A 23,684-nucleotide genomic window follows, 5' to 3' on the forward strand; every position below is an offset into this window, starting at 1 on the left:
GCCACCCCAGGAGCCGCCCAGAGGCCAGGGCAGCAGCAGGAGGGTAGACAGCTCAGGTGCCAATCTGCCTGAATCAGGGCTGCCCAACAGAACCCCCTAAGAGGCCTTGGCCTAATTCCCTTTTCTGGCATTCCTCTGGTCAGGAATTTTCAAGGTGGCCTCAGGCAATTTTGCTTTTTTGCTCCAGGCGTGGGAGGAAGAGGGTGGGGTATGGAAGACTTGGAAATGATCAGCTCAGAGGAGTCTTCTGCTGCAGAGAAAGCTAGAGACAGGGTTCCATACGATTCCAGGCTTCGGGAAATAGGGAAACAAGAACTGGGTTTTGCAAAGAGCCAGAAACACTCAGGAACATAAGCACGCGTGAATCTGAGGCATTGTTATGACGGCTGTTTGCAAGCACACAGCTAAGAGAGGGCCACTAATCCTGCCTCCGGGTCAGGAGCTGATCTGCATCTGCGCTCCGAACAGATGTGTGCCCCCATTCATGCAGACGCACGTGCACGCACATGCCACACAGCCATGGGCCCTGACCTTCACCCAACGACGCTGGCCTCTGCAGGGGAAGGAGCAGATGGAGCGGCGGCACCTGGCACAGGACCTATGCCCAGGGGATCCGGCTTTGCCCCTTTGATGTTGAGAAACCAAAGCAGAATGAACCATCACAAGGACAGCTCCTGGGGGGAGGAGAGGAAGGAACATGGATGGAGGAGGAGGCGGGTGGAGAAGAAGATACAGGGAATGACCTGGACCCAAGGGGATGCTGAGGTCAGAGGTTGAATGTTGGGTACCACACAGCCTCCAGAGTAAGGCTTTGGGGCTCAAGGCATCACCCTTCTCTACTCCCCCCACCCCCCCCATATGACTTATCAAGGAACTCTAGCTGGGATGACCCTTACAAATGCCCTTGTTGGCTCACGCCTGTAATCCCAGCACTTTGGGAGGCTGAGGCAGGTGGATCACCTGAGGTCAGGAGTTTGAGACCAGCCTGGCCTCATGGTGAAACCCCATCTCTACTAAAAATACAAAAAATTAGCCGAGAGTGGTGGTGGGTACCTGTAATCCCAGCTACTCAGGAGGCTGAGGCGGGAGAATCACTTGAACCCGGGAGGCAGAGGTTGCAATGAGCGGAGATTGCGCCACTGCACTCCAGCCTGGGCGACAGAGCCGAGACTCCGTCTCAAAAAAAAAAAAAAAGAAAGAAAACGCTCCTGTTCCATGGCATCCAGTGCCTAGAATCAGGCTGAACCAGGCTCCACGTGGCCCCACGTGCCTCCCCCAACTCCTGCCTGGGAGATGTGCTGAGAGAGTGGGAGGGTCCCACTCACGTGGGCCAGGAAGGGCGAAATCCACTATGTAAGCCCAGGAGGACCCTCTTCCTAATCCCTGAGAGCTTTCGGGAAAGGTGTCTCAGGGAAGGGTGGGGAGAAGGGGCGGTGCCTTTCTAGCAACGGAGCAGGAGCAAGGTGCGGTGGTGGGGGCGGGGGGCGGCTCTCGGTTCGCCCCAAGCCCCCCCACACCATTACCCGTGATCAGTTACGCATCCCCCGGGGCCATGCAAGAGCAATCACATGATCCAGAGAGATTTGGGAGCGAGGGGGTGGAGAACTCGAGAAGGTTTGTTTTTTTTTTCTTCTGAGGGTGGTGGTGATGATGAGGGTGGGGGTGGTGATGAGGCTGGCAGGAAAGATTGCTGAGCCCGGGATTTTCAGCTCCCGCATCCAAACGGCCCCCGCGGATATCTGCACCCCCCGTCTCCCCTCCCACCCGATCCCACCCCAGCACCGAACCCCTGGGCCCTGAACCACACATGACCCGGTGCCCCTGGGGTGGCAAACTCGGGTGCCAACGACTGCTCCCAAAACGGCCTTTCGGCTTCAGCCTGGACAGAGAAGCTGCCGGTCCAGGGGCGGGGGCAGCACCCAGAAGGGCCTCCCTCCCCTGAGGCTCGCGGAGGCCGGGTTCACAACAGGTGGGAGGGGGGACGCAGCTCTCGGCTCGGTCCGCCCACGGTCCCCGCCCCCGGACCGCAGGAATCCTCTCTGGGGACCCCCCGCCCGCGCCCCCCAGACCAGCCCGGCTCCTGGGTCCCGACCCCGATCCCGATTCCCAACCCGACCCCGATCCGGACCCCGATCTCGCCCCCGCCCGCGCTCCCCGGACCAGCCCGGTGCCTGGGTCCCGATCCCGATCTTGGGGTCCCGATCCCGATCCTGGGGTCCCGATCTCCATCCTGGGGTCCCGATCCCGATCCTGGGGTCCCGCCCCCGCCCGGCACACGTACTGCTGTAGAGGGTGTCGATCCAGGACAGGCGCGGCAGGCCCCGGTGGCTGAGCGGCTCCATCCCGCGGCGGCGGCTCGGTCAGATCCGAAACCCGACCCTCATCGCGCAACAAAGGAGGGAGAGCGGGCGGGAGCCGGGGGAGGCCGAAGTTGCGAGCGCGGAGGGGCGAGGAGGCCGGGAACCAGGTCCCCGGGAGGAGCGCGGGGCGGCCGGGGCAGGGGCGAGGGCGGGGCGGGAGCCCCCAAAACCCTCCCGAACCCTCCCGGCCCCAGCGGCCGCGCCGAGCCCAGCTGCGGATCCCGGAACCGATGAGCAACTTCGCGGGGGGCGGGGCGGGGGTGGGGCTTCGTGGTGGGGCGGGGCTTTGGTGCGGGGGCGGGGCTTTGGTGCGGGGGCGGGGCGGGGAGGGACCAATCGGCTCGAGGCTCCGCCCTCCGCAGGACGCCCCCGGCCGGGCTAAGGGGGCAGCGGGGCTCCGGCGCTGGGCGAGGAGGGGCCGCGGGGGTCTCGGGGGGTCTCCAGGCGGCGGCGCAGACCCAGGTCCCCCTCGTCCCCCCCGCGCCGGGCTCAGCAGGATCCTGGCGATCCGCAAACCAGGTGCCGTGGGGGGCCCGGGAGCCCACAGGGGTGACATCACCTCCCGCCCGGGATCTCCAAGCGCGGCTTCGCGGGCGGGAGCGGCGGCCGGGCCCCTCCCCAGCCAGACCCGCTGCGGGACCCACGGGGTGAACGTCCTGCGCGCCGCGGGACGCGCCTCTCTCCTCCCGAACCTTCCCCCGCTCGTCCCTTTCCACACCCCTGACCTCTGAGCGCGGCCGTTCCCGCCACACATGGAGGGGGGCGGGTGGAGACCCGGGAGGACCGAAGTCACGGGGGCTGTGGGGCCAGGACAGTCCCACATGTGCCCCTCCTGGGCGGAGGACAAACTGGAGCCAGGAGAAGCCCCAAGGGCTCCACGCGTTCCCCTCCAGGACCCCTCCTGGGGACCCCGAGCCGCGGCCTGGAAAGCCCATCGTGTTTGCATCATCACCTAGAAATGGTGGGAAGTCGGGTCAAGAGGCCTGAGAAATGACCGTTTAGAGACGAAATTCCCTCTAAGGAAGACCCCCTCGCCCAAGGGCAGTGAAGAGATTGGGGGCCCCATGCCTGTCTCCTGTGGGCTGATTCTGTGGGAGCCATGGCAGCTTCCCCACAGACCTCTTTGGGCCAAGCGACCCTGGAGCAGGGAAGGACAGGAGGGGAGTCAGGCCAGGGGGGTCCAGGGCAGTGGGGCTGAAGCCCCTTCCTGAACCCAGGGAAAGGGAAGCAGTGGGGCCCACCCAGGGGGCCCGGTACCCCAGATAGTGACATTTCAGATACCGGAGCTGTCTCCACCCCACCCCATCCCCAGGCAGCTTAAGGGGAAAACTTCTGGGAGCCCAGCCCTACAGAGGCCTACCAGGAAGGTTAAGTCAGCCTGGCCTTTGCCGGGGGCAGTGTGGTCGGCACCCGCAGAACGCTGGAGGGGTGTGGGGGTCGGTCCTCATCACTCCAAACAGACACACACACATCTAGTTCTTAAGGGGAGAAGCAGCTCCTCCCCCAGGATGCTGAGAGGAAGCCCCATAAGCTGCTTGGGCAGAGGCCTCTGCAGCTGCCCCAGGGGAGATGGGGGTCACCCACTCATCACAGGCTGGGGAGCCCCTGGGAGACGCACAGGATGATGCTCTGGGTGGGGAAGCCTCTACAGGTGGCTGCAGCAGAAGTGGTTTTCAATATTATTAGCCCGTCCCTGCGTCCCCAGGGCTCCCTCCGCCCCAATCCTCCTGGCTCAGGCACCAGCGCTGTCTCTTGCCGCCCCTCCCTGCAGCTGTCACCCTCCCACCGTCCCTGACTAGCACACAGGATTGGGAGGGCCAAGCAGGCACCTGGAGCTTGGCAGGGAGGGGGCGTGCATCTCCAATGAGACGCTCCAGAAATAGAGCTTCGGCATGGGAAGGGAACGAGCAGGCTCTCGGAGGACCGCGAGGCCGGAGGAGCCATGAGGGGCCAAGGGCATCTCTTCTTCCCACCTGGAACTCTCGGAAGACAGCCCAGGGGAAAGGTGGAAACGGGCGTGAGCTGCCGCCACCAGGAGCCACCAGCCCAGGAGGCAGCAGCACCGTCCCCTCCTCAAAACAACAACAAGCAAGAACGCTCGGGCCCTCTCCCCACACTGTGGGGTTTTCCTGATGGCCACATCCGGCGCTGACTGTGAGGGAGCTATGGATGTATGCTTCTGCGTGAGTCACATACATTTGCGTACATTTTACATTTTTATCTACAAAGGCTTGAACAAGCTATTTTCAGCATCCTCCAAGCTAAAATGTGGCAGTTGCTTTCCTTCGCGTTGCCATAGTTTGCTTTTTTCTGTCTACATTCTGTCCAATCCTGGCACTCTCGGACCCTCCACTCCACAACACGATAGAGGGTAGAGGGAGAGACAAATCTTGAGGGCTCTACAGAGGAAACTTCTGATAACGAACACAGAACACCGACTGTGTGCCCGGCTTAGCGTTTCGTTCACTAGCGTGATCTCACCGTGAATGTCACTGTTATCTCTGTTTTCTCCATTTTCCAGGTCAGAAAACCGAGGCCCTGAGCAGCTGAGTAACCCACTCAGAGGGTAAGTGAGGGCTGGGACTTGAACCCTGGCACTCTGTTCATGCTCTTTTTCTGTTTGTTTGTTTGTTTGTTTTTGAGACAGAGTCTCGCTCTGTCGCCCAGGCTGGAGTGCAGTGGCACAATCTCGGCTCACTGCAAGCTCCGCCTCCCGGGTTCACGCCATTCTCTTGCCTCAGCCTCCCGAGTAGCTGGGACTACAGGCACGTGCCACCACGCCTGGCTAATTTTTGTATTTTTAGTAGAGACGGGGTTTCACCTTGTTAGCCAGGATGATCTTGATCTCCTGACCTCGTGATCCGCCCGCCTCGGCCTCCCAAAGTGCTGGGATTACAGGCGTGAGCCACCGCGCCCGGCCTGTTCATGCTCTTAAACACCACGCATACTGCCTCCACGGCCAGCTAACTGGTGATCACCGGGTGCTGAAGGTCCTGAGAAATCTCTGCGGGTCCATGGGGTTAGAGACCACCCTCTGGGAAACCCTGTCAACCCTCTTCCATCTCCAGACGTCTGTCTCAGACAACGTGTCTCAGGAAAGGGCAGTCACTTCGAGATTCCCTTGATGCCTTTGTTGGATGGCTTCCAGTAGATGTTAACACCACGGCCAGATGCTAACCTTGGCCACAGAGACAAGTGTGTGAGCCTTTGAGCACCACAGTGATTTGGGTGGGAACAGAAACCTCCGCATCCCTGGCACTGAGGAGTTGGGGAGATCCAACGTCACGCGCTGGGAAGGAAGGAGTTAAAGAGTCCTTCTCCTCCGGGCTTTGCCAAAGGTGATGCTACCCTGAAGTGCTCTAACCCCAGCGATCAACCCCAATCTGTCAGAGGAGCGGGGAGCTGTGGCAGACAGACCTTCCTGATTCAGCTAAATGTGGACCGGGTGGGGACCAGCCAGTGCTCCCCAAGGCACTGAACCCCCATCTATCACGCTGCCTCCTCCAGGCCCCTTCTAAGCATTCCCCAGACAGTCCCTGGGGCCAGTGCTCTCCACCCTCCCAGCCCTCCCTCCAGCCTGTGCACTCAGACTGTCTGCGGCTCTCCAACCCCAGGGTGACCTGCCTGCTCCTGCCTCATCACTGGACTTAAAGGGGATTTCATGGTTGGGTGCACCGCCAGGAGCACTGGGTTAATGACGAGGGGCTGAGTGGGAAGAAGGTACATCCCATTTTCAAGGCTATTTGCCCTGCTCCTAATTCCCAAGCACGTGCTACTCACGGCCTCTCCAACGACCAACTCTTGCTTCTACCAATCAAGGTAGAAGCCTTGGTTCTTGGCCAGGACAGAAAAAAGGGGACGGGCCCTAGAACCAAAACTGGGTATCTCCACATTTCCTCCCTTCTCATGTTAGCAGCTCAGCTCCACTGCACACGACAGGAAGGCCCCAGGAGTCTCTGCTTCCTTGATCACCCAGAGGTCACCGCTGATGACAAAAATATGTTCCCATGCGGGGGCCAGGCAGGGAGCCCCGGTGCGTGCAGAGGCTGAATACACAGTGGGTGGGAGGGAGTGGGGCCCTCTACATTCAAATGAAAAACCAAAACCAAAAATAGACTGTGATGACCAAAAAACCGAGAGTTTGCACCCTCACTGGCCCATCAGGTCCTTAAAAGCTGGGACTGGCCAGGCGCGGTGGCTCATGCCTGTAATCCCAGCACTTTGGGAGGCCGAGATGGGCAGATAGCCTGAGTCTGGGAGTTCGAGACCATCCTGGCCAGCATGGTGAAACCCCGTCTCTACTAAAAACACAAAAATTAGCCAGGCGTGGTGCATGTGCCTGTAATCCCAGCAGTGAGCCGAGATCCTGTCACTGCACTCCAGCCTGGGCAACAGAGTGAGACTCCCTCTCAAAAAAAAAAAAGCCAGAGCCGGGCACAGTTGCTCACGCCTGTAATCCCAGTACTCTGGGAGGCCGAGGTGGGTGGATCACGAAGTCAGGAGATCGAGACGATCCTGGCTAACACGGGGAAACCCCGTCCCTACTAAATATACAAAACATTAGCTGGGCATGGTGGCGGGCGCCTGTAGTCCCAGCTACTCGGGAGGCTGAGGCGAGAGAATGGTGTGAACCTGGGAGGTGGAGCTTGCAGTGAGCTGAGATCACGCCACTGCACTCCAGCCTGGGGACAGAGCAAGACTCCGTCTCAAAAATAAAAAATAAAAAAACCAGGACTGCATCTTCCTCACTGGGCAGACCCAGTGCTCAGCGCAGTGGGTGAACAAGGCTCAGGTAGACTCCCAGCACAGCTATGACCACATGGTGCCTCCAGATCAGCTTTCTGCCGAGCGCCCAGCAGATCGGCATTCAATAATGCACATTGAACAAATAAAATTAATGACAGCTAACAGTTATTGAGTGCTTTTTTTTTTTTGAGACAGAGTCTTGCTCTGTCACCCAGTCTGGAGTGCAGTGGGCATTCTCACAGCTCACTGCAGCCTTGAACTCCTGGGTTCAAGCTGATCCTCCTGCCTCACCCTCCCAAAGTGCTGGGATTATAGATGTGAGCCACCGTGCCTGGTCTACTGAGTGCTTCTTAAGTGTCAGGCACTGCTCTATCTGCTTTACGTAGGTTATTTCACGTAATCCTTACAATAAGCCAATTTACTATTATCTCCATTTCACAGAAGAAGAAATTGAGGTGCAGAGAGGCTAAGCCATTGGCTAACTAGCAGATGGCGATGCTTGGAAATGAACCAAGTCTGAATCCAGGGTTCCCGTGTGTAATCTCTGCATTGAGCGGCAATTAGTGAATGAATGAATAAACAGAATGAAGTTAAACTCAGGGAGGAAGAAATCGGAGCTACACGAGGGAGGCAGGCAGCGTTATTTCAGAACCCTCCCAGGGCCACTGATGATAAAGTAGAAAGAGAACTGGTATCCCAAGAAAACCATATCTACTACAGCAGGCCAGATGACCCTGGAGACAAGCTGAACAAAGTCCAGTGACAATCTCCCAAATGCCAGTCCCGGCCAAACCCCACTTCTTCAATGCCTCCGGCCAATCTCAAGAGTTTCCAGCCTCAGTGTTCACATCTGTAGACAGTATGCGCCCAGGGCCAGGCACAGTGGCTCACGCCTGTAATCCCAGCACTTTGGGAGGCCGAGGCCAGCGGGTCACCTGAGGTCAGGAGTTCGAGACCAGCCTGGCCAACATGGTGAAACCCCGTCTCTACTAAAAATACAAAAATTAGCTGGGCGTGGTGGCGGGCACCTGTAATCCCAGCTACTCGGGAGACTGAGGCAGGAGAATCGCTTGAACCTGGGAGGTGGAGGTTGCAGTGAGCCGAGATCGTGCCACTGCACTCCAGCCTGGGTGACAGAGTGAGACTCCGTCTCAGAAAGAAATAAAAAAAAAAAAAAAAAAAAAAAAAAGAAGGTATGTGCCCAGGTGGATCAAGAAGACGACCTCCAGGCCTCCTATGAGCACTAGCAGAATACAAACTCTCCTGTCAGATCCTGGGGTGGCCTGTTTTCCGTGCTTTGCTCTATTCCCATTTCCTTGGTACAGTAAAGCAGCATTTACTATTCTTTTTTTTCTTTCTTTTGAGATGGAGTTTCACTCTTATTGCCTGGCTGGAGTGCAGTGGCAGGATCTCGGCTCACTGCAACCTCTGCCTCCTGGGTTCAAGCGATTCTCCTGCCTCAGCCTCCCGAGTAGCTAGGATTACAGGAGCCCGCCACCACACCTGGCCAATTTTTTGTATTTTTAGTAGAAATGGGGTTTCGCCATGTTGGCCAGGCTGGTCTCGAACTCCCAACCTCAGGTGATCCGCCCGCCTCCACCTCCCAAAGTGCTGGGATTACAGGCGTGAGCCACCATGTGCGGCCAGCATTTACTATTCTAAGATTCATCCTCAGCCCTCCAGTCTGGGGAAAGAAGAAAATTCCCCAGGCCTCCACAGTGTCACCTGTAAGGGTGAAGTCTCAGCCTATGAGTCTGTCTTTTGCCCTCTTCTCACCTGCCCTCTGCTCAGCCTCCCGGCTTTTCCAGCAGCCAGTGAGATCTACAGGCAACAGAGGTGAACTGGAAGCCCTTCCCAGTTAGTCATTTCTGCACCAAACTTTTGTGTCAGCTTGAGTCATGGGAAGACCTGCTGCCCTGGCAAGATGTGGACCTGCTCCCCGGGGAGCTGCATTCACCCCCTCACTGCCTCCCTAGGCATCACTGCAGGATAAAGCACAGTGACATCAGGTCCTTGCAGCTGTGACACTCCCCACACGCCCCCACACACTTCCCAGGGGCCGAGTTGAAGCCCCGTTCCCATGGCCAGGGGCCACAGCAAGGGCAGCATCCTGGGCAGAGCCGCTGGCTTAGATTATGCACTCCCCGAGCCACCGTTTTAGGAGGGTCTCTCGCCAAGCCCCAGCTCACGTGGCCCTCACCTGACATGGCTCAGATGACACCACCCACAGGTCAACAGCAGAGTTTTCCCAAAGGGTCCGTCCGAGGGCTCGACAGCAGGGCCTGGAGCCCCCTACTCATTTACTTACCACCAAGTCCCCATCAGCATTCAGAAAGACGCCAGCAGAAGAGTCCAATGGATTCTCTAAGTCTCCAAAACCCAGAGATTCAGTTCAGTGGCTCCAATCTCCTTAGCCCCAAGGGAAACAAGAGCACGTCCAGCTGGGGTCAGAGCTCACGGGCTGGCCCTCTGCCCTCCTGTGGTCACGACGGCCCCGAAGCTGGCCGTGCTCCTCGCTCGTTCAGCCAGAATTCTGCAGACGCATCCCAGGCCTACGCTGCTCTGCCAGGACCTCTGACACCACCCACCAGGCTGGCCCTGTCCCCATCAGGCCCAGGAGTGGCTGCAGGAGCCGAGGGCAGGCTGTCAAGGAGACGGGCTCCGAGAGGCAGCGGCTCACCATTCAGCAAGGCGAGGGCAAAGGAACCTCAGAGCCTAGCCAGGGGCGCCTGCCATCAGTGGAGCCTCTGCTCTGGGGCTGCCGGTCGGGCCGTGTGTGCTGTGTCTCTTTAAGGACCAGGCCTCTTCAAGGCAAGTTCCCTCTGCAGTCCAGTCCTGCCTCTGCCCGTCCTGCGGCAGAGAGTGGGGGCTCCCCAGCGCCATCTGGCGGCCGCACAGCAGCACCTCGGCCACCAGAGGCTTCCAGCCAAGCGGCCCGCAAGTGCCTGGACAAAAATCTCCAGCTTGGACACAGGGCTGCAGGCTGCTGTTGGGAACACAGCTGGGGGAGTCAGGAGGAGCTCCGTCTGGGAAGGAGAGAGCAGAAGCCCCCAGGAGTGACATGGGGAGAATGATCATCCCGCCGGACAAAACCTTCACTAAAATATCCTCAAATGGGCCGGGTGTGGCAGCTCACACCTGTAATCCCAGCACTTTGGGAGGCCAGTGTGGGCGGATCAGCTGAGGTCAGGAGTTCGAGACCAGCCTGGCCAATATGGTGTAACCCCATCTCTACTTTAAAAAAATACAAAAAGTAGCCGGGCATGGTGGTGGGTGCCTGTAATCCCAGCTACTCGGGAGGCTGAGGCAGGAGAATCACTTGAACCTGGGTGGCGGAGGTTGCAGTGAGCCGAGATCATGCCACCGCACTCCAATCTGGGTGCGACAGAGTGAGGCTCCCTCTCAAAATAAATAAATAAATAAATAAAATATTATCAAATTGGGCCGGGCACAGAGGCTCACACCTGTAATCCCAGCACTTTGGGAGGCCAAGGCAGGCGGATCACTTGAGGTCAGGAGTTCCAGACCAGCCTGGCTCATGTGGTGAAACCCTGTCTCTATTAAAAACACAAAATTAGCCGGACATGGTGGCGGGCATCTGTAGTCCCAGCTACTCAAGAGGCTGAAGCCGGAAAATCACTTGAGATCGAGGCTGCAGTGAACTGAGATCGTACCACTAACACCCCAGCCTGGGAGACAGAGCGAGACCCTGTCTCAAAAAAACAAATAAGTAAATAAAAATAACAATGTGTGGGAGCATTTAAAGAGGTCACAATAGGCCAGCTGCAGTGGCTTATGCCTGTAATCCCAGCACTTTGGGAGGCCGAGGCGGGCAGATCACTAGGTCAGGAATTTGAGACCATCCTGGCTAACACGGTGAAACTCCGTCTCTACTAAAAATACAAAAAATCATCTGGGCATGGTGGCGGGCGCCTGTAGTCCCAGCTACTCAGGAGGCTGAGGCAGGAGAATCGCTTGAACCTGGGAGGCGGAGCTTGCAGTGAACCAAGATCGCACCACTGTACTCCAGCCTGGGTGACAGAGGGAGACTCCGTCTCAAAAAAAAAAAAAAAGAGGTCACAATAACTAGGGGTCGCTACTAGCCTTCAGTAGGCAGAAGCCAGAAATCTTAAAATGTCCTACAGGACTTGCCCTACAGAACATCTGTTGTAAGTGCCAAGAGCGTTGAGAACTCTACCTGGTTGGGGAAAACAGGATGGCGGATGGCGAGTTCCCATCTCACCCCCAGCTGGTCCTCTTTCCCCATCACACTGCTTTGGATGTCCTTCCTACTAAATTTCGCCTTCATAAACGTAGGGGTGGATGGAGGGGGCAGTCTGACCCAGCTGCCTTCACAAGGGAAGCCGGTGCCTCTGGCTGCCCCTCCCAGAAGCCAGGCACACACACCCCTGAAATCACTGCACCAGCTTCTCTTAGGCTGAGCTGCACCCAGGACATGCAAATTTTCCATAAAGCACTTTCGGGTTCTGATCGTGAAACCTCGTGACTCCTAATTTCCTCTTCCCCAAGCTCTTGGCACCTTGTCCTGAGCTGGTCAGCTCAGTCTCATGAACACACAGTCCGGTGCCAGGAGCTGGCACGAGAAACTAGCACACATGACTCGTGTTCTCCCGAAAGGAGAGTGAAGAAGGGTGAGACTCCGGCCACAGTGGCCACGTTTTGGCTGGGTCCGTTGGTTGGAGCAGTCCCAGGCTCACGAGACTGACATCAAAGATATGAAGATCAATTAGAGGAAAGAGTTTCCCAGTGTCTAACAGCAACTGAAGGCTTGCTCTAAGACATCCTAAAACACATGTAGCATGTCATTCCTCTCTTACTAAGACCTGTCTATGGCTTCCTTTTTTTTTTTTTTTTTAGACAGAGTCTCGTTCTTGTCCCCCAGGCTGGAGTGCAATGGTGCAATCTCGGCTCACTGAAACCTCCGCCTCCGAGTTCAAGTGATTCTCCCGCCTCAGTCTCCCGAGTCACTGCTGTCGGGATAGAGACCCGCACATCCTTTTGGTGGCCTAAGGAACCTGTGGCCGGGCCTCTGCACCCCTTTCAGCTTCATCTGGCACATTCTGCTCCTTGCTCTCTTCTACTTTTTCCTGCCTTGGAACTTTTGCATAGGTTGACATCGCTGGCAAAAACGCTCTACCCCCACTCTGCCTGGGTAACTCCTACTCTCCCTTCTGGTCTTAACTTAAGTATCTTGTCTTCCAGGGAGCTTTCCCGACCCACCAGACCAGGAAGGCCTGCGTCGTTCCCTGCTTCTGAATGCTCAGGACTCTTGTAAACGTTCAATGCCTGTCTCTCCTGCTAGACTGAGGTCTCTTGGAGGATAGGAACCACATCTGTTATTCACTGTAACCCCAGGACCTTGCACAAATAGTTTCAGTGAATGAATGAGCAAGTGTGAATGAATGAATGACCAAGCATATTCCTGGTCACAAAGAGCCTGGAATGAGGCAGTACAGGTGTTCCACCCAGCCCACCTCCACCAGCTGGAAAAGAACTGTTTGGCTGGTTGAGACGTCGCGTCGAGAATGACCACCCTCTCTGGAAAGATGCAAAGAAAGAACAAATGGCCCCTAGGATGGGATTTGGGGTGGGAGAATTGCTGTTCCAATTAATTCTCTAACTGCTCACAAAAAACCCTAACTGAAAATTCCCCAGTGCACAGGGTTCCCTTGTTCAGCAGCCAGTATTGGAGGCTGTACTCCTTTCTATCCAATCAGGCTCCAACATGGAAACGGCATAGAAACCCAGAAATGGTTCAGCCCACTAAGGGAACTTCGGTCTCAGTTCTCAGAGTCCTTCTCCGAGGCCTGTCCCAAATTTGCAATAAAACTTGTTTTTAGGCCAGGCACGGTGGCTCACGCCTGTAATCCCAGCACTTTGGGAGGCCGAGGCGGGTGGATCACCTGAGGTCAGGAGTTCGAGACCAGCCTGGCCAACAAGGTGAAACCCCGTCTCTACTAAAATTACAAAAATTAGCCAGGCGTGGTGGTGGGTGCCTGTAATCCCACCTACTCAGGAGACTGAGGCAGGAGAATCGCTTGAACCCAGAAGGCGGAAGTGGAGGTTGCAGTGAGCTGAGATCGTGCCACTGCACTCCAGCCTGGGCAAGAGAGTGAGGCTCCATCTCAAAAAAACACACACAAAAAAACTTATGTTTCGGGGAGGGAGGTAAACAGTAGCTCTTCCCTGGGAAGAAAGCAGTTTCTAGGTGGGTGCCCGTCCCGTCTGCTCTCGCCGTCTGCTGGGATTCCGAGAAAGAAGATGCTGGTTGCTCACGGTATGCTCAACCCCTCTGCCCCACGGCGCTGCAGGCGAAGCTGTGAGTCACCAGCTCCCAGGAATGACTTTGATGAACCTCCAACCAGACAGATGGAAAATCTGGCTTTCAGTTCAATGATGGGAGAAATATGATAGAAATGGATTCTGGGCCCTCACGCTCCCAAGGGGCTGGCCTGAGCGAGTCTGCAGGGCCTGACAGACAGGGCTTGGGCACGACTTCTGCGGCTGCAGATTGCGCTGGGCCATGGTAACCACCACGCCGGCCCGAGGGCGCTATACAGTGCGACACCAGACTCCAGGTCTGCTGGGGGCCTGTGCCCAGGGGAGAGGCTCCTTTCCATGTTCCCGTCACCAAAACAAAGAAATAAACAAAACAACCAATGTCAAATCAAGATCCGGTTCTCGGGCCTCGAGTTTGTAAAGATCCAGAAAGCCACCCCAGCAGACGGCGGTTGGTCTGCCAGCTTCCCGCCAGCCTCCCGCCAAGCTTCCTGCCAGCTTCTCACCAGCTTCTCACCCCCGCCTAGTAACGATGTTCTGGATGTTCCAGCATTTTTCTTTTCTTTTTTTTTTTTTTTTTTTTTGAGACAGAGTCTCCCTCTGTTGCCCAGGCTGGAGTGCAGTGGCGCAATCTCAGCTCACTGCAACCTCCACCTCCCGGGTTCAAGCGATTCTCCTGTCTCAGCCTCCCGAGTAGCTGGGACTACAGGCGCCCGCCACCATGCCCAGCAATTTTGTATTTTTAGTAGAAACGGGGTTTCTCCATGTTGGTCAGGCTGGTCTCGAACTCCTGACCTCAGGTGATCCACCTGCCTTGGCCTCCCAAAGTGCTGGGACTCCAGGCGTGAGCACCTGGCCTGTTCTGACATATTCAATAGTGTCAGGGTTCTTCTGTCTCCTGAAATGAGGGGCCTGTTGAAAGCAGTAGGGGTGTGGAAGAAGAACAGAGGGTAACATAGAAACGAGGCAGCAAACACTTGCACCTGCTACCTGCGCCCAGGCTGCCGTCAGGACTCTGCATGTATTAAATCACTTCATTGTCACCGTGCCACACGACCGCTCCAGGAGCCACACATGAGCCCCTCAACACTCTGCTGCCTTTCTCCAACAGGAGGGAAAGAGCGCTCGACCGAGCACAGCCTGAATCCAGCTGCTGGTTCTGCCACTAACTTGCTGTGTGACTCTGAAGAACTGCCTTTCCCTGTCTGTCCCTTGATGTTCTCACCTCGACACGAAGAGATGTAAGTCCCAGGCAGTAGCTGATAAAGGAAGGGGGAAACTTTCCTGTTTCCCGCCCTTCAGTTCCTATATTCCAGGAAGTTTAATGGGTTTTCAGGGCTAGAAAAGTTATTATTATTATTATTTTGTAGAGCCAGAGTCTCACTATGTTACCCAGGCTGGTCTCGAACTCGTAGGCTCAAGCAATCCTCCTGCCTCATCCTCCCAAAGTGCTGGGATTACAGGCATGAGCCACGGCGCCCTGCAGAAAAGTTACTTATTATTTCACTGAATATTCCCTGAGCCCTACTGTATAAACCAGAGTTCCTTTTCCCAGGCTGCTTATGATAATAGACTTCAGACATGCCCAGAAATCACAGAGAGGGAAAGACAGACAGTGGTCTGGACAGTGAGTTATGGAGGGGGCAGGAGGGAGGTACCACTTCAAACTGAGCTGATGACTAAAAGCTTCTAGAAAGAATGTGAGCTGGGCACGGGGGCTCACACCTGTAATCCCAGCATTCTGGGAGGCCGAGGTGGGCGGATCACCTGAGGCCACGAGTTCAAGACCAGCCTGGCCAACATGGTGAAATCCCGTCTCTGCTAAAAATACAAAAAATTAGCTGGGCATGGTGGAAGGCACCTGTAATTCCAGCACTTTGGGAGGCCGAGGCAGGAGGATCACCCGAGGCCACGAGTTCAAGACCAGCCTGGCCAACATGGTGAAACCCCGTCTCTACTAAAAATACAAAAAAATAGCTGGGCGTGGTGGAAGGCACCTATAATCCCAGCACTTTGGGAGGCTGAGGCAGGTGGATCACCTGAGGTTGGGAGTTTGAGAGCAGCCTGACCAATATGGTGAAACCCCCTCTCTACTAAAAATAGAAAATTAGTGGGGTGTGGTGGCGGGCGCCTGTAATCCCAGCTACTGGGGAGGCTGAGGCAGGAGAATCCCTTGAACCCAGGAGGCGGAGGCTGTAGTGAGCCGAGATTGCGCCATTGCACTCCAGCCTGAGCAAAAAGAGCGAAACTCTATCTCAAAACAAAAAACAAAACAAAACAAAAACTTGCACAGAGGCAGACGTGGAAATGGAGCGAAGAGCTAGAATGGATGACTGTGGAGAAGGTTCTTTTGGGAACTGGGGGCGAATATAGAAACTGCTACTAATCTAACGTGTGGCCTCAGCATGAATTCAGGAAAACAACAGAATTAGCAGCTTTTCTTAGATCCACCTTATAGAGAAGCCTTTCTGGGACACCCCCTCCCCCTCAATACCCACAAGGATTCAGGACTCCCCCGCTCTCCCGGCGAGTTTGCTGAACGCCCTTCGGCCGACGTGTCCCGAGCATCGCCAGTATTTACGTTCTAGGCACCCTGTTAAGCACGTAACCTTCACTCTTCGCAAGCAGCCTCTCTATGTGGAAGCCACAGTCACCACGCCCGCTTTACAGAAGAGGCTCAAGTTCACACTGCTAGTGAGTGACAGAGCCAAGTTCTCACTCGGGTCTGGCTCGGTCCAGAGCAATTGTACCTGGCCACCAGTCCTGAAGCTTCAGGAAAGCATCCTGACCAGATGCCGCCCGACATTCACTCAGGAAGAGCTCGGTTTCCAGCACGCCAGGGAGTACTGGCAACTGACGCTAATTCAAGCACATCAGTGCAGCCCTTTTTGTTTGTGTGTTTTTATGTTTGAGATAGAGTCTCCCTCTGTCCCCCAGGCTGGAGTGTGGAGTGCAGTGGCACAATCTCGGCTCACTGCATCCTCCGCCTCCCAGGTTGAAGCGATTCACCTGCCTCAGCCTCCTGAATAACTGGGACTACAGGCACCCGCCACCACGCCCAGCTAATTTTTTTTTTGTATTTTTAATAGAGACGGGGTTTCACCGTGTTAGCCAGGATGGTTTTGATCTCCTGACCTCGTGATCTGCCCACCTTGGCCTCTCAAAGTGCTGGGATAACAGGCGTGAGCCCCGCGCCTGGCCACTGCAGCTCTTAAAGCTTACTCTCCAGGGGAAGTGGCAGAGGAAGGAAGACACAAAGATGAATTTCCATCCTCTTTCTCCTCTACTGAAATCTGACAAGCTCCTGGGTCTTTTGATTTCTCCTTGAACATGAGGTTTGTACCTGGAGGATCTCTGGTGGCAAGGGTGTTTCCTTTGTTTTTTTTTATTTATTTATATTTTGATTGATTGATTGAGACAGAGTCTCTCTCTGTCGCCCAGGCTGGAGTGCAATGGCACGATCTTGGCTCACTGCAACCTCCGCCTCCCGGGTTCAAGTAATTCTCTTGCCTCAGCCTCCCAAGTAGCTAAGATTACAGGTACACGCCACCACGCCCAGCTATTTTTTTGTTTTGTTTTGTATTTTTAGTAGAGAGGGGTTTCACCATGTTGGCCATGCTGGTCTCAACTCCTGACCTCAGGTGATCTGCCTGCCTCGTCTTCCCAAAGTGCTGGGATTACAGGTGTGAGACACTTCGCCCAGCCTTCTTTATTTTTTAGAGACAAGTCTCACTCTATCGCCCAGACTGGAGTGTAGTGGTGCAATCATAGCTCACTACAGTCTCGACCTCCCAGGCTCAAGCCATCCCCCTGCCTCAACTTCTTGCATAGCTAGGACTACAGGCATGCACCACCACACCCAGCTAATTTTTTTTTTTTTAAGATGGAGTCTCGCTCTGTTGCCCAGGCTGGAGTGCAGTGGTGCGGTCTCAGCTCACTGCAACCTCCACCTCCCGGGTTCAAGCAATCCTCCTGCCTCAGCCCCCCTAGTAGCTGGGATTACAGGCATGTGCCACCATGCCCTAAAAATTTTGTATTTTTAGTAGAGACAGGGTTTCGCCATGTTGGCCAGACTGGTCTCGAACTCCTGACTCAGGTGATTCACCCACCTCGGCCTCCTAAAGTGCTGGAATTACAGGTGTGAGCCACCGCGCCCGACCCTAATTTTTTTTTTAATTTTGTACAGACAGAACCTCACTATGTTGCCCAGGCTGCTCTTGAAGTCCTGGCCTCAGGCCAGGCGCGGTGGCTCACGCCTGTAATCCCAGCACTTTGGGAGGCCGAGGCGGGCGGATCACGAGGTCAGGAGATCGAGACCATCCTGGCTAACACGGTGAAACCCCGTCTCTACTAAAAATACAAAAAATTAGCCGGGCGCAGTGGCGGGCGCCTGTAGTCCCAGCTACTCGGGAGGCTGAGGCAGGAGAATGGCGTGAACCCGGAAGGCGGAGCTTGCAGTGAGCGGAGATCGCGCCACAGCACTCCAGCCTGGGCGACAGAATGAGACTGTCTCAAAAAAAAAAAAAAGTCCTGGCCTCAAAGGATCCTCCCACCTTGGCCTCTCCAAGTGCTGGGATTACAGGCGTGAGCCATCAGGCCCGGCCCTTAAGGGTGTTTTCTACTGCTACAGTGATTAACTAGTCTCTGGTGTATCTCTCTCCCAAAGGCAGCCCCCAGCCCTGCCTGACCCAGGCTCAGCAAGTAGCGTAAGGAGCATTTTAAAGAAAATTATTGGCTGGGCAGTGGCTCACGCCTGTCATCCCAGCACTGTGGGAGGCCGAGGCGGGTGGATCACGAGGTCAGGAGATCGAGACCATCCTGGCTAACACGGTGAAACCCCGTCTCTACTAAAAATACAACAAATTAGCCGGGCGTGGTGGTGGGCGCCTGTAGTCCCAGCTACACAGGAGGCTGAGGCAGGAGAATGGTGTGAACCCGGGAGGCAAAGGTTGCAGTGAGCCGAGATCGTGTCACTGCACTCCAGCCTGCGCAACAGAGCGAGACTCTGTCTCAAAAAAAAAAAATTATTGGCCGGCGCGGTGGCTCACGCCTGTAATCCCAGAACTTTGGGAAGGCAAGTTGGGATTGTGGGGAGAGATCACTTGAGGTCAGGGATCACTTGAGGTCAGGAGTGCGAGACGAGCCTGGGCAACATGGCAAAACCCCATCTCTACTAAAAATACAAAAATTAGCCAGGCATGGTAGCAGGTGCCTGTAATCCCAGGTACTCAGGTGGCTGAGGCACGAGGATCGCTTGAACCAAGAAGGAGAAGGTTGCAGTGAGCCGAGATCACGACACTGCACTCCAGCCTGAGCAACAGAGCGAGATTCTGTCTCAAAAAAAAAAAAAAAAATAGGCAAGGTGCGGTGGCTCACGCCTATAATCCCGGCACTTTGGGAGGCCGAGGCAGGCGGATCACCTGAGGTCAGGAGTTCAAGACCAGCCTGGCCAACATGGCGAAACCCTCTTTCTACTACAAATACAAAAATTAGCTGGGCATGGTGGCACGTGCCTGTAATCCCAGCTACTCGGGAGGCTGAGGCAGGAGAATCACTTGAACCCAGGAGGTGGAGGTCACAGTGAGCTGACATCACACCACTGCACTCCAGCCTGGGTGACAAGAGTGAAAACTCTGGCCCAAAAAACAAATTAATTAATTAAATTTAATTTAGAAAAGATTTCTTAGCTAACTTCTCAGAGGAACATAGGACAAAACTGGGTATTAACTCTACATCCTGCCTCACCCACCCCCTCCCTAAATGTTGATGACTCTGTTGCCCTGGGCTTACCAAAGAGCAGCCACACACACAGAACTTTCTGAAAAATCCTGTCAGTGCTCTGAACAAGGCTCGAGTCCCTGGGAGAAGACGGCACCACAGGAAGCTACAGGAGATCCAACCTTCCTTTTTTTTTTTTTTTTGAGACGGAGTCTTGCTCTGTCGCCCAGGCTGGAGTGCAGTGGCGCGATCCTGGCTCACCGCAAGCTCCGCCTCCCGGGTTCATGCCATTCTCCTGCCTCAGCCTCCCGAGTAGCTGGGACTACAGGCGCCCACCACCGTGCCCGGCTAATTTTTTGTATTTTTAGTAGAGATGGGGTTTCACCGTGTTAGCCAGGATGGTCTCAATCTCCTGACCTCGTGATCCATCCGCCTCGGCCTCCCAAAGTGCTGGGATGACAGGCGTGAGCCACCGCACCCGGCCAAGATCCGCCTTCCTAAGGAAGGACCCTGTGCTGCTCAGAAACCTTCCCAAATGCTCCGGGAACCCCGGCTCCCCTGCAGTGCCTCCTGGACAGACGCATCCTGCAACGCTCCAGAGGGTATCGGATCTCGGGGGCATCTCTTTCTTCAAGGCAGCCCCCAGCCCTGCCTGGCCCAGGCTCGGATGAGCATTGCAAGGAGCACTTTAAGGAGAGTCACTCCTATTTCAGAGCCTCTGGGAAACAGGCCGTGATCTCCTGCTGTGGCGCAGGGAGGGTTTGGCTGGAGGCTCTGAGCTGGAGCCACCTCCACTTAATGCTGGAGTGAATGATTTCAAACCTCTGTCTCTGCGGGTTTGAAAAAAATTGGGCAGGGTCAGCCCCATGCCCCATTTTTGGTCTGAGAGGTTGGAGAGAGAAAGACACCATCCCTCTGGCTCCTGACCGGTCATTCTGAAGCCTTGAGCTCTAGGAGCCTCCTCGGATCTTAGCCACAGCTCTGATGAAACCTCACCCTAATCCCCTTCTCGTGGCCCACAGCCTTCTAGACACTCATTGCCCAAACCCCTGCATGAGTTATTTTCCCAGTTGCTGTTTCTGTCTGATTGTGAAAGATTCTTTCCTCCCAAAAGCCACATGCCTGTCACATGAGGGGAGTGCCAGACCACCAGCAGAGAGGGGGAGGGTGCTGGGAAGTCTTCTTTCCTGGACCCCAGGCTGGTCCCCTGAGTCTTGGGGAGTGGCTCCTGATTGCTCCCTATAGCCAACATCCCAGGGAGCTTGGGATCACACTGGAGGGAAGATCAGCGCTCACCCAAACCAGACCGTGACTTGGTTTTCCCCAGAGAGCAGTATCTATGGTGTCCCCACCTAAGACCTAACTGGAGCTGGGCTCCTCAGACCACTGGCTTTGGGGGCAAATACACCCTGCTGACTGTCAGATCAAAGCCATGCTGCAGGCAGCTGAGACAGGAACACTGCCGCTGCTGCTGCGCCCGGCTGGCCGCAGCCCCACGCTGTGGGTTAGTTCTTTGGGGGCCCTAAAGGAGAGCTGAGCTGTCGCCTTCTGGACATAAAGGAGCTGCTTTTGCAAAAGAGACTGTATCTGCCCCCTGCCACAACTAACCAGAAATGAGGAAGCTGCCACAGAGAAGCCTCCCAGTCTCTGGGGCTGCGGGTTCTGTCTGCTCCCCCTCCCAGAGGCCACACATGAGGCTGTACATGCAGGCAGGCCACATTTCCTTCCAGGCCCACAAACAACCTCGACTTCCTGCAAAGACCACTAACCCCAACGTCGGTACACGTGGCACGTTGCCCAAGGCCGAGCTGCTGCTGATTTTTAGTGTGACTTTCAGGACCAAAAAGGAAGAGGTTCTGTCTGGACAAGGAGAGCTTGGCCTGAGACACCAACAGACGGCAACTTCCCACCTGGCCTCTGCCTGATTCTGCAATCAAAGCTGCCTGGTTCCGGCCAGGCACAGTGGCTCAAACCTATAATCCCAGCACTTTGGGAGGCTGAGGCGGGTGGATCACCTGAGATCAGGAGTTCGAGACCAGCCTGGCCTCATGGTGAAACCCCATCTCTACTAAAAATACAATATTAACCAGGCGTGGCGGTGTACACCTGTGATCCCAGCTACTTGGTTTTTTGTTTTTGTTTTTGAGATGGAGTCTCGCTCTGTTGCCCAGGCTGGAGTGTAGTGATGCCATCTCGGCTCACTGCAAGCTCCGCCTCCCGGGTTCACGCCATTCTCCTGCCTCAGCCTCTCCAGTACCTGGGACTACAGTTGCCCACCACCACACCTGGCAAATTTTTTTTTTTTTAATAGAGGTGGGTTTCACCGTGTTAGCCAGGATGGTTATGATCTCCTGAACTTGGGATCCGCCCGCCTCAGCCTCCCAAAGTGCTGGGATTACAGGCGTGAGCTACCGCGCCTGGCCAATCCCAGCTACTTGGGAGGCTGAGGTAGAAGAATCGTTTGAACCTGGGAGGCAGAGGTTGCAGTGAGCCGAGACGGTGCCATTGCACTCCAGCCTGGGCAACAGAGCGGGACTCTGACTCGAAAAAAAAAAAAAGAGGTGCCTGGTTCCAAGGACGAGGCCCTATCTCCTCCCAGACCTTCATTCCTCTGAGGGGGCCGGGGAAGGTGTGAAAACTTTGCTCGGGAGTGGTCAGGGTCACGAATGCCTGGTTCTGGAAAACAAAACCTCTCTCTGGCTCTGCAGGTGCCAGGGAAGACTGGGGGAAACAGAGGCAGTGAGCCAGGGCCCGGCTAGGAAGATCACCCGGGCTGCTGGCTCAGAAGCCACGCTGCAATTAACACACTGGCAGGGGCTCATCTGTACCCATGTCATAGACCACCAAGAGGCCACACGGAAGGTACAAAACATACAGGCTGTTGGGGTTTTTGTTTTCTGGTTTTTTTGAAACAGGATCTTGCTCTGTTCCCCAGCTGGAGTGCAGTGGTGCAATCACAGCTCACTGTAGCTGGTGGGATATTTTTGGGGGTGGAAGGGAGAGACGGACTCTCACCGCAGCCTCCCCCTCCCGGGTTCAAGCAATTCTCCTGCCTCAGCCTCCCAAGTAGCTAGGATTACAGACGCCCGCCACCACGCCCGGCTAATTTTTGCATTTTCAGTAGAGACAGGGTTTCACCATGTTGGCCAGGCTGACCTCAGTTGAACTCCTGACCTCAGGTGATCCACCCACCTCAGCTGCCCAAAGTGGTGGGATTACAGGTGTGAGCCACAGCACCTGGCCAATTTTTTAAAACTATAAGTTTATTCAGTTTTTTTTTTCTGTCATATAAGTCATAAAGCCAGAATTTTAAAAACTTTTAGACAATAAAAGAGTAAAATGTGACCCATAAAATACACCACCCCAATTAGCATTTTCCAGCTTTTTTTGTATGCATATAATAGAGCTCTTTTTTCTTTTTTTTTTTATTATACTTTAAATTTTAGGGTACATGTGCACAACGTGCAGGTCTGTTACATATGTATACATGTGCCATGTTGGTGTGCTGCAACCATAGAGCTCTTTACAAAGTTTTATAGTTGGCCTTCTCTACCTGGCTGGAAGCCACACTATCCCTATCCAAGGGCACCCTCAGATTCAACCAACCACAGATCAAAAATATTTGGGAGGAAAACAATTAAAAAAAAACACCACAAAAATAAAAAATACAAATAATACAGCATAACAACCACATAGCATTTGCAATGTATTAGGTATTAAAAATAACCTAGAGATAAGTTAAAGTACACGGGGGTCGGGGGCAGGCATGGTGACTCACGCCTGTAATCCCAACACTTTCGGACGATCGCTTGAAGCCAGGAGTTCAAGACCAGCCTGGGCAACATAGCAAGACACTGTCTCCATTAAAAAAAATTTTTTTAAATAAAGTCTATGGGAGACGTGATTAGGTTACATGTAACTATTACAGCACCTTATATAAGAGACTTGGGCGTCCTGGGATTCTGGTATCTGCCAGGGGTCCTGGGGCCAATCCCCCATGAAAATGGAGGGACAGGTGTAATTGGAGTGGCTCTCCAGACTGTGCCCAGGAATTTCTCAGCCTGATCTTTGGCCAGTCCAGCTTCATTTTCTCCCCTCCTCCCGTTACATCAAGCAGAACAAGTTTCACCTAGATGAGCTATGACCTCACTTTATTCGGGGCCTCCGTGGTGCAGACACAAAGATGGATCCCCAGGTGGAAACCCGGGCACGTCATCCCGGTTTGTTCATGGTGCAAGATGTCTCCGGTTACTTCGGGGAGACAGGAACATGACCTGGGTTATCAGCACCGTCCAGGGACACCAGAGATAAAGCCTCATCTATAACATCCCCAGTAAAAAGCTGAGAATTGCTCCTGACAAGGTCCTGGGGCTCTTCCTTCCTCTGGGCAGGGCTACAGCTTAGAGACTGGGAGAAAGCCTTGGGGTTGGCCAGGGACACCCACCTGCCTCAGGAGGGGCTGTGTTAATGACATCAGCCTTTCAGCAATGGAAACTAAGGAGGATGGGGGGAGGAAAGTACAGGAAGACTTGTAAAGGGAAAGTTCTGTTTGGATTCAGG

The 23,684-nt window shown here is 55.0% G+C and overlaps 1 protein-coding gene and 1 long non-coding RNA gene across 4 annotated transcripts in view, besides 7 other annotated features; one reads left to right on the forward strand and one right to left on the reverse strand.

Moving 5' to 3' along the window:
• Positions 1–23,684, reverse strand: part of ABR (ABR activator of RhoGEF and GTPase) — a 226,204-nt gene that overhangs the window by 173,867 nt on the left and 28,653 nt on the right. Inside the window, exon 1 of one of the 3 annotated variants that reach the window (NM_001159746.3) lies at positions 9,415–9,887. The exons of 1 other annotated variant lie outside the window; for it this stretch is intronic. Coding sequence is in view for 1 of the 2 variants with exons in the window: in NM_021962.5 (NP_068781.2) it covers positions 2,282–2,342 (61 nt within the window). In the remaining variant the exon portion in view is untranslated. Of the gene's footprint in view, positions 1–2,281; positions 2,597–9,414; positions 9,888–23,684 lie in introns of those variants that run through there. One more of the 3 variants, NM_021962.5, reaches the window with a different exon arrangement.
• Positions 2,637–3,403: an enhancer, noted in NCBI's record as "H3K4me1 hESC enhancer chr17:1083316-1084082 (GRCh37/hg19 assembly coordinates)". NCBI's record gives its function as "activates a minimal SCP1, AML or CMV promoter by ChIP-STARR-seq in naive H9 embryonic stem cells {active_cell/tissue: H9 hESC(naive)}" and the evidence as "EXISTENCE:reporter gene assay evidence [ECO:0000049][PMID:30033119]".
• ABR-AS1 (ABR antisense RNA 1) lies at positions 4,242–12,976 on the forward strand. Its single transcript, NR_187271.1, has 3 exons — positions 4,242–4,543; positions 4,882–4,926; positions 12,330–12,976. It is a non-coding gene; the product is annotated as an ABR antisense RNA 1 (long non-coding RNA).
• Positions 20,596–20,645: an enhancer, noted in NCBI's record as "active region_11443". NCBI's record gives its function as "activates an Ori minimal core promoter by ATAC-STARR-seq in GM12878 lymphoblastoid cells {active_cell/tissue: GM12878}" and the evidence as "EXISTENCE:reporter gene assay evidence [ECO:0000049][PMID:35858748]".
• Positions 20,676–20,855: an enhancer, noted in NCBI's record as "active region_11444". NCBI's record gives its function as "activates an Ori minimal core promoter by ATAC-STARR-seq in GM12878 lymphoblastoid cells {active_cell/tissue: GM12878}" and the evidence as "EXISTENCE:reporter gene assay evidence [ECO:0000049][PMID:35858748]".
• Positions 20,901–21,101: a silencer, noted in NCBI's record as "peak2673 fragment used in MPRA reporter construct". NCBI's record gives its function as "represses an SCP1 promoter by STARR-seq MPRAs in K562 erythroleukemia cells {active_cell/tissue: K562}" and the evidence as "EXISTENCE:reporter gene assay evidence [ECO:0000049][PMID:32103011]".
• Positions 20,901–21,105: a biological region, named in NCBI's record as "MPRA-validated peak2673 silencer".
• Positions 20,966–21,105: an enhancer, noted in NCBI's record as "active region_11445". NCBI's record gives its function as "activates an Ori minimal core promoter by ATAC-STARR-seq in GM12878 lymphoblastoid cells {active_cell/tissue: GM12878}" and the evidence as "EXISTENCE:reporter gene assay evidence [ECO:0000049][PMID:35858748]".
• Positions 22,222–22,271: an enhancer, noted in NCBI's record as "active region_11446". NCBI's record gives its function as "activates an Ori minimal core promoter by ATAC-STARR-seq in GM12878 lymphoblastoid cells {active_cell/tissue: GM12878}" and the evidence as "EXISTENCE:reporter gene assay evidence [ECO:0000049][PMID:35858748]".

This window comes from Homo sapiens, chromosome 17 (assembly GCF_000001405.40).
Source record: "Homo sapiens chromosome 17, GRCh38.p14 Primary Assembly".
NCBI classification, from domain to species: domain Eukaryota; kingdom Metazoa; phylum Chordata; class Mammalia; order Primates; family Hominidae; genus Homo; species Homo sapiens.